Here is a 12,757-nt window from a genome sequence, read left to right as displayed (position 1 = left end):
TGTAAAATGTGCCAGAAGGTACCCCTTTTATCTATGTCCTATATCTGTGAGGAATTAGCTTCTGGTGGGCTGTCCCCTTTGGGGGTGTGGTTTAACTCTTAACCTACAAGCACATGAAGCCCAATAAGGGTCTCTGACATCTTTTCAGCACATCTAAAATAGCTCCACATAACATTAGTCTTAAAACGACATCTGTCCAATCCCCTTAGAACAGATCAGAGATTGGACCTATGACCAGAATGAAGAGAACTGGTCTACCTACCATCTTTAAAACTAAAGACTCATCTTAGAGAATATTTGGCTTTTACAACATACTACAATTCTCCCAATAACTTGGCAGTGCTCATAAACCCATTTGAGAATCTGATCAAAGGATGGCTCCTTCTCCTTGGGAAACAGGGACATATGTAAAAATCACAAAATTGAATTGAATAACATTTCAGAGTTTGCAGACACCAGAATTCTTTCCACAAACTCCTTAAGAATCCAGGAATTCCAGGATACAATACCCAAAATGGCTAGCAAGGCATCCTTCTCACCTTATCTGTTTGCGTGTTTTCATGAAGAATCCTCGTGTCGATGGCGGCAGCCAGCAAGTTATTGGCAGCGGTGATGGCGTGGATGTCTCCAGTCAAGTGAAGGTTGAACTAGAGAAATAAGATATCTTTCTATTTATTTATTTTCAGAAATAGGGTCTCGCTTTGTTGCCCAGGCTGGAGTGCAGTGGCATGATCATAGCTCACTGTATTCTCAAACTCTTGGGCTCAAGCAATCCTCTCACCTAAGCCTACTGAGTAGGCTGGGACTATAGGTGCACACCATTGTGCCTGGCTAATTTTTGAATTTTCTGTGGAGATGGGGGTCTTGCTATGTTGCCTAGGCTGGTTATGAGCTCTTGGGCCACTGTGCTCGGCTAAGACATCTTCCTATTTGTTTTAAACAACTATGGAATTTAAGGACTGAATAAATAAAATAGCATGCAAATTACATATCCTTATAATGAGCTGAGTCTATAGGAATGCCTAAATCAGAAAATCAAGGTCAAAGCCTTCCACGTGACAACAAAGAACCTTTGAGCAATTACTCAGATCATAAATTCTTCCATCCTCAGGTTAAGGCAAAACATTCTGATGCATTTAATAATGAATCTCCTTATAGTCACTCACTACGTTTATTCATTGTTTTATTATCTAGAAAACAGTATCATATCAAATATACTTTGGAGTGAGGCAGGGCATAAAATAAACAGTAACAATAAAATAATATGAAATATTACAGAACTTTGGAGAAATAGAGTATTTTACCCTCATGACTCTACTCATTCTGTTATTTTCCTTCCAGTCTCATGAGCACACTCGATTATCATTTGTAGAATCATCTTCCTACAAACTTCCAAGTTTCGTTTTTCACAAAACTTTTTCTATAATAATCTTTTGTATAGTTTATAGAAGCTGTATACGGTAGATGTACCAAAAGTTTCAGGCTGGATATATACGCTACTACCAAATGTTCACTTTTACAAGAAAGGCCACAGTTATAAAGAATATACACAAATAGCTTTTCCTTTTATTAAAAAAATTAATTGCTAATGAGTAATATATTTTCAGGAGGTAGTTACTAGGTTAAATGAGCTCTCTTTCTTTTCTTTTTTTTCTTTTTTTTTCTGTAGAGACACAGTCTCACTATGTTGCACAGGTTGGTCTCAGATTCCTGGACTCAAGTGATCCTCTCGCTTCAGCCCCGCAAAGTGCTAGGATTCCAGGCATGAGCCACCACGCCCAGCCCTTGGGATCTTGATAATATCACCAAATTGCTTTTTGAAAGGGATGAAGTATTTTTATTTTATTTATTTTTTTTTGAGACGGAGTTTCGCTCTTTCACCTAGGCTGGTGTGCAGTGGCATGATCTCAGCTCAATGCAACCTCCGCCTCCCAGGTTCAAGGGATTCTCCTGCCTCCCAAGTAGCTGGGACTATAGGCGCCTGCCACCACACCTGGTTAATTTTTGTATTTTTAGTAGAGATGTGGTTTCACCATGTTGGCCAGGCTGGTCTCAAACTCCTGACCTTGTGATCTGCCCACCTCAGACTCCCAAAGTGCTGGGATTACAGGCATGAGCCACCACATCCGGCCTTTGAGATCTTGATAATATCACCAAATTGCTTTTTGAAAGAGATGAAGTGTCATCTGCAAAACACTAGTAGTAGATCAGTTACTTCAGAAATAAAGTAACTTTTAGACTAAGAAATAATTTAATAGTTGAGAAAGTGTTATTCTTTTTAAAGCTGCATTTCCTTAATTTCTTGGAAGGTTAAATATTTTCTTGTTAAAATTTTACTTTATAACATAAAATAATGTTAACTGGAGAAAACATGAAAAATTACATATGTATATATATTTTATAAATATATATTTGTACTTTTAAATATTGGAATCATAACATCGTAACAGTTTATACTTTAGCTCTTACACTCTCAACATAGCAAGCATTTTTACATCATTAAAGATTCTTCAAAATACAGTTAACCTGATGTCCTATTATTATCCCCCCATTTTTTAATGTTATAAACTATGTGAGGGTATATTTAATTTAAAATGATCTATATTCCCATACATTCATTTTTTCCTTAGGGTACACTAAAAATGAATTTATTTGGGCCAAAGGATATGCACGGTAAAACACTTAATATGTATTTCTACTCTTCTTCCTGAAGTGTTTTTATCAACATACACTTTCCAGCAGTGTGTGGGAGTCCATTTCAATTTCTTTGCCAAAATTTGGTATCATAACTATTTTGAAAAATCCAATTTTGTCAATTTGACAAGTAAAATGGTAACTGATAGTGGTTTTATTTTTATTTATTTATTTATTTGGAGACGGAGTCTCGCTCTTGTTGCCTGGGCTGGAGTGCAGTGGCATGATCTCGGCTCACTGCAACCTCTGCCTCCCAGGTTTGAGTGATCCTCCTGCCTCCGCCTCCCAAGGAGCTGGGATTACAGGCGCCTGCCACCACGCCCAGCTACTTTTTGTATTTTTAGTAGAGACAGGGTTTCCCCATGTTGGCCAGGCTGGTCTCAAACTCCTGACCTCAGGTGATCCACTCGCCTCAGCCTCCCAAAGTGCTGGGATTACAGGCATGAGCCACCGTGCCCGGCCTGATAGTGGTTTTAATGTAGATTTATTTACTTGATTATTGGTGAAGATGAATATGCATTTAGTTAATATTTCTTTTTCGATGTTTCTATTGAACTCTTTGGCCATTTCACAACTGGAATGTAAGTTTTTCTTTCCAGCCGTCTACTTGATGTCCACCTGCATGTTTCATAGGCCTCTAAACTGACTCCCTCCTTCTGACTACCACCCTCCACCACACCCCACACCACACAGTTCAAACCTCATACCATCACTCCCCTGTTCTCTGCCTCAACAAATGAGTCTACTGAGTTGCTCAAGCCAGTACCCTGGATGTCGTCCTTGAATCCTCCTCTTTTCTAACCCCCAACATCTAATCCTGCAAACATCAGCAAACAAATCTTAAACTGTTTTTTCCTCTTTTCCATCCTCACTGCCCCCATCCTGGGCCAAGTCACTGACATCTTTCCCTAGGCTACTTCCATAGTCTTCCTCCTGGATTCATCGTGTCTACTGAGAGGCCCCTGGTCCTTTCATCACACAGAAGACAGGGTGATTTTAATAAAACTCAATCTGCATTGTGTTATCTGTCAAGATCCCTTCAATGGCTGACCTTGGCACTTCAAATAAAATCCAGGTTCTTGGCTACAAATTGCAATCGCTCGACAGAGCTGGCGCCTGCACACTTCTCTACCTCAACCCCCCCAACTCCCGCTGGCCCACGGGGCTCCAGCCACCCTGGTGTCCTCCAGTTCCCTGAACAGGCCACACCCTTTCCTGCCTCAGGACTTTCCCACCAGCAGTTCCCACTGGCTGAATGCTCTCCCTCATTCTTCACAAGGCCGGCTCCTTCCCATCCTTCCAGTCATAGTGTTTTCACTTTCAATTCCTCAGCCCATCTGGAATTTATTCTAACATTTTCCCCTATGGTGATTTATTATGTTCCGTCCAGTACATATTGTCTGTGCCTGGCACACAGTCAACAAACATCCACCAAGTGTCAGGCACGGTGCTCAGAGCTGGGAGGATACAGATGAAGAAAAGACTGGAGGCACTCAACTTCAAGGAACAAATTGCCTGAGTGTGTCTGGCCCACTCTACCCTCATAAGGTAGTCTTCTTGGCTGGGCGCGGTGGCTCACGCCTGTAATCCTAGCACTTTTGAAGACCGAGGTGGGTGGGTCACCTGAGGTCAGGAGTTCAAGACCGGCCTGACCAACATGGTGAAACCCCATCTGTATTAAAATATAAAAATTAGCTGGGCATGGTGGCAGGTGCCTGTAATCCCAGCTTCTCGGGAGGCTGAGGCAGGAGAATCACTTGAACCTGGGAGGCAGAGGTTGCAGCGAGCCGAGATTGCACCATTGCACTCCAGCCTGGGTGACAGAGCGAGACTCCATCTCAAAAAATAAAATAAAATAAAATAAAAGTAGCTCTCTCCTCCAAGCCACGCAGCTGATGCCCTAAACCAGCGGGACACCAATGTCCTTCCAATTTGCTGGCTAAACCCGAGCCATTCCCCTGTGTATGCCCCTTGTACACCACCTCTAATTTGGCCTCCTGGTTCTGGGTCTTGCTGGCTCATGAATGGTACCCATCCCCATTCTGACCTGAGGCCTGGGACGATTTTTTTCAGCAGTGCCTTGGACTACTCTTTCTCACCCCCACTCCCAGTACTTGAAGTTCCTACAGATTTTCTCTTTAGCTTCCCTGACACTCAGACCTCCATGGGTAAACACTTCTATTCCTTTAACAAAGTCAACAAGTACTTTCTAGTGAGTTCCTACTATGTGCTGGGCACTCTGCTCAATGCTGGGACCTGAGACCTCAAGAAAGGCCCGCAACTCGCCACAGCCAACTGAACCAGATAGCCGTAAACACAGAGGGAGTCTGTGGGGTAGAGAAGAACCTTGACAAAAAACCTTGACTAAACTGGGTAAAGAGGACAGAAAAGGAAGAATGTTCCAGGCATGGGAAAATCCTGGAACCAAGAGAGAACAGGAAAAGAGTCTGCAAGGGCTGGGCACAGTGGCTCACGCCTGTAATCCTAACACTTTGGGAGGCTGAGACCAGTGGATTGTCTGAGCTCACGAGTTCCAGACAAGCCTGGCCAACATGGTGAAACCCCGTCTCTACTAAAATACAAAAAATCAGTCAGGCACAATGGCAGTTGCCTGTAATCCCAGCTACTCAGGAGGCTGAGGCATGAGAATTGCTTGAACCTGGGAGGCAGAGGTTGCAGTGAGCCGAGACTGTGCCACTGCACTCCAGCCTGAGCAACAAAGCAAAACTCTGTCTCAAAAAAAAAAAAAAAAAAAGAGTCTGCAAGGAGCTTGACGCAGTAGAGAGAAGGCAGGTGGGGACTTGTGGACAGGGAAGCAGGAGCAGCCACCCACGAGGACCTCCTGTGCTGTGCTGGAGGGTGACAGGCAACGGCGGAAATGACAGAACAGGAAAGTGACCTGCTCAGATTTGGGTTTTGGAAGATTGTCCAGGCCCTGAATGATAAGGCTGATGCAGAGAGTGAAACTGAAAAGAGCTGGTCACTGGTTAGTTACAGGCAACAAAGAGGTTATGTGGAACAAAGGTGGAGTTCTTACAGAAGTGAGAATTAACAACGTCAGTTCTTTTTGCCCATTTTCCTCTGGAACTCTTTTATTTTGGGGTCTTTTATTTTTAATGGGACACTTCACAAATTTGTGTGTCATCCTCGTGCAGGGACCATGCTAATCCTCTCTGTGTCATTCCAGTTTTAGTATCTATGCTGCCGAGGCACGCACTAGAGCCTGAATTGACAGAGGGGAAGCGTCAAGTCTTCGTGAACTTGGCAGTACAGCAGATGATCAAGGGAGGCACAGACCCACATTCTCTCATCCAGACCCGCAAGGCCAGCAGGGTTTCAAGATTCTGAATTTTTTGAAGTTTAGGAAGGCAGTGTGATTTACATGTAGTTTATTTGTAAAACACCCCAAGCAGGGGCTAGGTCAGCACCTGTTAATCAAAAATAATTTTTCCACAGCAATGTATATGAATATTCACGCCAAGTAGCACGTACAAAATCCATATAATTATAGCTCATCACAGTAAATACTAGGGTTTGTCACTGCATGAGTTATGCAAACATTTTGGGGTTTCAGAGCCTTAATGACTTTGGGATTATGGATGAGGGTCTGTGGGCCTGTGTGGATGGGAGCAGAGACAAGATGTCAGGAAGGAAACACAGTGATAGCTGACCCGCATCTCTTCAAGGTCTTACCTCCTCCATGGGGATGACCTGGGCATATCCACCACCCGCGGCTCCTCCTAAACAACAGAGCAAGAGGCATTTCAAACGGGTCACCAAGTACAGCTGCCACGATGGACACAGGCCAAGGGACACAGCTCCCCAAACCCAACAGAGAGGCGTCACACCCAAGATGAAGTAACAAAAGGCAGTGAGAGACACTAATGGTTATATCCAAGCAGAACAACAACAAAAAAAGTTGACACTTTGTCTAACTATACCTCTGTTTCTTTGCTTAAAAAAAAAAGGTAAAAATAGAGCAGATGTCATTACTGTAAAACATACCAGGATATGAGAATATTTTGATAATTTATTATTAGATCTCTGTGACTATACTTTATCTAAATCAATTGTATATGATTTCATATCTGAGCAAACTTTGTTTAAAAAAAATACACTGTGGCTGGGCGAGGTGGCTCATGCCTGTAAACCCAGCACTTTGGGAGGCTGAGGCAGGCGGATCACTTGAGGTCAGGAGTTCGAGACCGGCCTGGCCAACATGATGAAACCCTATCTCTATTAAAAATATAAAAATTAGCTAGGCATGGTGGCGGGTGCCTGTAATCCCAGCTACTTGGGAGGCTGAGGCAGGAGAATCACTTGAAACTGGGAGGCGGAGATTGGAGTGAGCCGAGATTGCACCACTGCATTCCAGCCTGGGCAACCAAGTGAGACTCTGTCTCAAAACAAAAACAAAAACAAAAACAAAAAAACCACCGCATAACCACCTCAAATGAGTAAATTATAAACTTCAATTTATTTCAGATAATAGTATGTGAGATTTGTCATGCTGCGTATCCCTCAAAATGTTGGTTGTTAGAGTAAAAGGACTGCTCTTTCCTAAAGCAGAACAACACCGCCCATGTGTGTATCATTTGACAGTAGCCCTCGTTCTTTACGTGCTTTCTCATTTGATCCTCACAACAACTGGGTGAGCCTGGTGCCGCTCTCAGCATTTTGGACTTTTAGAGATGCGGCTCCGAGAGGTTGTGACTGGCTCAAGTGGCCAAGGGTCACATGGCGGTAGGAAACACAGCTGTGACCAAAACCTTGGCTTTCTCGCTCCAACCCTAGTGTTCATTCCACTACACGATGCATGACACTCTGTGCGTTATCAGTACTTTATGAGATACGTTATTAATATGTTTAACAGTAATACAAATGCAATATTCTTAAAAAATCACGAAGTGCCAAGGACAAACTGTAATTGCAGCAATAACCACCACTGTAAAGTGAGCTAAGGAATGATTTCATGATAAATCAGGGAAGAAAGAGTAATGAATGGGGAAGTGCCAGATATCAGCCCGACCACGGCCAAGGAGGAATTTCATCACGACTCGCTGTCCACAGCCAGTCCGTCTCCAGAGAGCTCTGCGGGCCCCACACAGCAACTCCAATGAGCCGAGACTAAAGCAGAGGGAAAGACCTTTCCCCGGGACTGGGATGATCAAACACCGATATGGATGGCCGTGTTTCAAGATCACTTGGCAAAGAAGGCCCTGATGAAATGGGAGACCGCACTCGAGGCGGGAGCCTTGAGCAACGCAGCCCCAGGAACAGGCTCCTGAGGCATCCAGTGAAGCCCTGGCGGCTCCCACTGCTCTTTTTCATGCCCGGGGGAACCAACATGGGGCGACCACTATGTACTGAGTGTGCAGTGAAGAAATGTACCAAGTCCCCTGAAAAGTCTTAACTCTTTATCTGTTGACAATGTTCTTTTTACAATTCTCTCCCCCCAACTTTGCCCTGAAAAGTACACTAGTTGTTAAAGACAGTACCTTTCACTCCAAACGTCGGTCCTTGGGAAGGCTGCCTCAAGCAGGCAAAGGAGTTGACATTCAGGTGTGCGGTCAGAGCCTGCACAAGCCCGATGGTGACTGTGCTCTTCCCTTCTCCAAGAGGGGTGGGTGTGATCCTGAGTTCGGGGGGAGAAAGTGAATTTTATAATATTTCCCAGACAACCTATGCAAAACCAGCCGAAGACACCAGAATCAAATCTGAGGGTGCTCATTTCAAAATGCACTCCATAATTTAATTTTCTCGGGCTATTATGGTCTACTCACATCACACAGGACAGGCATAAGCTAAAGTCAAGATACAGACACACCTTTACCAAGAAACCAAAAAAGGAAAAGGTATTAGGCAGTGCTAATAACAACATCAGTTTCAAGAAAGGCCATAAAACCACTCATCAAAATGGTTTAAATAATTCAGCTGATGGTGGGGCATTTCTTGCTGATGAGTATATAGCAGTTGTTCTTCCTGAGCCATTTATTGGGGCAGGGTGTGGGCACAGGGCCTATGGTTTGGGGACAGGGCCTAGCTCAACGGTCCTTGGGTGAGTAGGGCACTGCCAGACTCTCAGGATTAGAAGGGACCCTAAAGTCCCCACTTGTCCTTCTCCTTCCAGATATCCCTGCCCAGGGCTTCTCCCTGCCATGCTTGAACACAGATGGTGATAAGGTCATGACCTCTGGGGTGGCCCACTCATTTACAGACAGCTGTTACAGTTCAAAAGTTCTTTGTTCTAGAGAGAAGGCATCTGCATTCATGTTGTGTCCTAGCTCTTGGAGTCCTACACACTAAGCCTGATCCCTTTCCATATGACAGTCCTTCAAATATTCAAAAAGTCCACAGGCCCTGTGCATACTATGGCGGAAACTTCTGCTCTTGAGAATCTTATTGTTGATGACAACACTTTGCAAAACCAAATGTTCCCATGTTCATAACATCACAGTATTAGGTATTGAAGAGAGCCTATTACATTACCAAGTAAGGCCTCATAAAATTGTTCTTTAGTACATCACAAGCATTGTTAAAAATTTTTTTTTTCCACTCTTTAAAGTTTTATTTCACTAACTTCAGGCCAAATTCCCACAACTGTGTTCTGATCAATTTACTATCCTTGCTTGGCTTCCCCAAATGGTAGTACCAAAAGATGTGTGGGGTAGGGAGAAGAAACCACTTTAAGAAGCACTGCATTTACTCATCTTCCACAAGGCAACAGAGTTGGGCATCTGATTGTTCAACAAAACAAAGCTTTAATAGCATCCAGGAGGGCAGACAGGCAAACCACGCTGTAGACACTCTTCTATTTGTCAAAATCAGACCAGAGAAAACCTACTCCACACAGATATAATAGATATTGATATTCATCTTTTCTTTTTCTGTTGCCGCAAAATTTTTCTTTTAATGATCATATCATGTAGTTTCTCAAGTCCTTCCTTTAGGCCATCTCCTATGATTGCACAGGTAGGCTACAAATGCCAAGGAGCTGATGAGCTCAGTTCACCCATTGCTAACAATTTCTCAATTTCTGAAAGAGACAATGAGTTCCTCAAGTCTTGTTTGTTAGCAACTATAAGTACAGGGACTCCTTGATTTTCTGATATCCTAGTTATTTTGTGAAGTTCAGTTTTGGCTTCTTCCATCCTTTCGACATCAACAGAGTCCACAACAAATACAATGCCATCTGTGCATCTGGTATATGACTTCCACAGTGGCCTTAATTTCTCCTGACCACCTACATCCCAGAAGTGAAAAGTGACTGTTTTAGAATTTCCCAAGCTTACCTTAATTTTCTCAGTGTTAAATCCTTTGGTAGGTATGGTATTTACAAATTCATTGAACTGCAGCCTGTATAAGACAGTTGTCTTTCCAGCACAGTCCAAACCCAGAATAACAATGTGGAAGGACTGAATGAAGGCAGGTTGGACAGGATAGAAGTCTGGTCTGATAGCCCATTCCCCATTTCCAGGTGCAAATAAATGTCCCAAATTGAAATGCTTTTCTCTTCTTGCTTTAGAATTTCTCTTGGTAGCTGATCCAGCTATAAGACTGCTCCCGATCTGGAGTTTGGGTCCAAATGAGAAAGCATTGGCAGGCATTTCTACGAGGGATAAGCACCCCACGTCCTTCCAGCTTAGCTCTCAAGCATCGTTAAAAAATTTAAAGGCTGTCATTAGGGTTTACAGTTTGGTCTTCCATGAGTTACTGTCAGCCATGTTGTCAAGGATACTCAACCACAACCAATCTAATAGAGTTTTCTGATCTACAAAACCTAAGGATGTAACCACAAAGAAAGAATGTCTTTAGAGGCGTCATCATACCCTACAATTCCATGAGTCATTCATTCAGCAAATATTTGTCAAGTACTGCTATGTACCAGGCACTGAGCTAGACGCTGGGGACAAAATGATGATCCAGTCAGACTTCATCTCTATCCTCACGAGCTTCCAGCTGATCTGAATATATCAGCAATTACGATAAATGTGACAAACACTAAGACAGGGAAATAGGGCAGTCAGACTGAATTATGAGGGTACATGGAAAAAGGATCTAACTAGATTTGAACATCTGGGAATGTTTCCTGTAGGAAGTAACATCTTAGGTGAGACCCGGCAAATTAATAAATGTTAACTAGATAAAACTGAGAGTGGATTGGGGCAGTTAATAGGAGAGGTGCTATGCTTCATATTTATGGGGTTAATTATTTGTACGCTCACTTGATAGATGAGGAAACTGAGGCACAGAGTGTAAGCAACTTGCCGACAGTCACACAGCTAGTAAGCAGTAGAGCTGGGAGGCAAAGCCAGCCATCTGACTTAACCAGGTTCTCCATGGATGGAAATCATAACTATAGCCATTTAAAGCATGGAATGGGTAAGATCACCCAAGGACAGTGCACCGAGTGAGAAAAGGGATAAGGACAGAAGAGTTAAGCACATTTGCTTGTAATGAGTTGTCAGAAGAAGAGAGTCCAAAAGGAAACTAAGAAGGCGTAGTATAAAATAAGAGAACCCGGCTGTGTGCAGTGGTTCATGCTTGTAATCCTAGCACTTTGGGAGGCCAAGGTAAAAGGACTGCTTGAGCTAGGGAGTTTGAGACCAGCCTGGGCAATATAGTGAGACCCTGTCTCTAAAAACACAAAAAATAAGAGGACCCTGGAGAAGAAGGCAGAACATGACAGGAAGTCTCAGAAGGAGGCCAAGGATGAGACTGTTTCCAGAACAGGAAAGTCAAACGCCACTGAGGCAGGAAGCAGGATGAGGACCGAGAGTGGTCGGTGGATTCAGCAACAAGGAGGTCGCTGGTACCCACTGTGGCCAGGAGCTGGTGAGCCTATCCTGACACCGCTGCATGGAGAAACCTAAGACTCCTGAAGCCACATGACCCCGGCTTATCAGTCACCTCTGCATCTGTCTAAACAGCAGATCTGCAGTGGGGTCAACGTGAAGACTGAAAGTTATACAAAGATATTAATACTTCTGCTTGGAGTCAACTTTCTGTTTTCTTGGATACAACATCAATAAGGGCAGTTAAAAGCCCACAGGCATTACAATCTTAGAAGAGCCTGTAAAGAAACTGTGGCATCAAATATGGTGTCATTTAAGTACCGCACTGAGCATTTGGTGTTTGCAAAGGACTAAGTGGTTTACCTAAACTGTGTCACATGAAGGATTACATTTTCATTCCCAAGGATATGCTAGCATAGCTGCCCAAGAAAGCCAAAAGCAGACACGCCCAGAGATGACCTCCTCAAAACTCCAGCTAACCATCCAATTCTTAATTAGAAACACAGGACTGCTCAGCTTTCTGCCAACTAATACAGTTCGGGAAAATCACAAAGTAGGAAGTATTTATTGTGAGCAATAAAAGGAGAGCTACAATAAAAAAGCTTATTTCACCTCCTTCCTGTATTTGGTATCAAAATTTGGTTTAGTTTTCCCCCCAGTATCTTTAGCTCAGATTCCAAATCATCAACGGGGATATACGAAAGAATGAGCACCAAGGTAATCTAATTTCTCTTTCTTTCTCTCTTTTCCTTCCTTCCTTCCTTCCTTCTTTCCTTAAGGTAATCTAATTACTCTCTCTCCCTTCCTTCCTTCCTTCCTTCCTTCCTCCCTCCCTCTCTTCCTCCCTTTCTTCCTTTCTCTTTTTTTTTTGGAGACACATGGAGTTTCGCTCTTGTTGCCCAGGCTGGAGTGCAGTGGCACAATCTCAGCTCACTGCAATCTCTGCCTCCCAGGTTCAAGCAATTCTCCTGCCTCGGCCTCCTGAGTAGCTGGGACTACAGGCACGTCATCACACCTGGCTAATTTTTGTATTTTTAGTAGAGACGGGGTTTCACCTTGTTGGCCAGGCTGGTCTCAAACTCCTGACCTTGTGATCCGCCCACCTCAGCCTCCCAAAGTGCTGGGATTACAGGCGTGAGCCACCACGCCCAGCCCTCTAATTTCTTTTTCTATGGGAGCTTAGAGTTCATAGAGATGGAACTGTGATTTTTGTTCATTACATTCCTCCACTTCTCCCGGCAGATTTCTGTACCCCCTCTCTGATATCT

General features: G+C 43.5%; 1 protein-coding gene and 2 pseudogenes across 33 annotated transcripts in view; all 3 read right to left on the bottom strand.

Moving 5' to 3' along the window:
* Positions 1-12,757, bottom strand: part of MTHFD1L (methylenetetrahydrofolate dehydrogenase (NADP+ dependent) 1 like) — a 236,186-nt gene that overhangs the window by 156,755 nt on the left and 66,674 nt on the right. For 30 of the 32 annotated variants that reach the window (NR_146719.2, NR_146720.2, NM_001242767.2 and 27 more), the window contains exons 12-14: positions 8,193-8,329; positions 6,388-6,434; positions 540-647 (exon numbers count right to left, since the gene is read on the bottom strand). Coding sequence is in view for 30 of the 32 variants with exons in the window: in NM_001242767.2 (NP_001229696.1) it covers positions 540-647; positions 6,388-6,434; positions 8,193-8,329 (292 nt within the window). In the remaining 2 variants the exon portion in view is untranslated. Of the gene's footprint in view, positions 1-539; positions 648-6,387; positions 6,435-8,192; positions 8,330-9,247; positions 10,475-12,757 lie in introns of those variants that run through there. The other 2 variants (XM_024446396.2, XM_047418618.1) reach the window with 1 other exon arrangement.
* Positions 5,805-5,911, bottom strand: RNU6-302P (RNA, U6 small nuclear 302, pseudogene; annotated as a pseudogene).
* ARL4AP5 (ARF like GTPase 4A pseudogene 5) lies at positions 9,260-10,355 on the bottom strand (annotated as a pseudogene). Its single transcript, NR_199143.1, has one exon. The product of NR_199143.1 is annotated as an ARF like GTPase 4A pseudogene 5 (transcript).

The sequence above is a fragment of the Homo sapiens genome, chromosome 6 (genome assembly GCF_000001405.40).
Source record: "Homo sapiens chromosome 6, GRCh38.p14 Primary Assembly".
NCBI lineage: Eukaryota > Metazoa > Chordata > Mammalia > Primates > Hominidae > Homo > Homo sapiens.
This window is presented reverse-complemented; position numbering and strand designations above follow the sequence as displayed.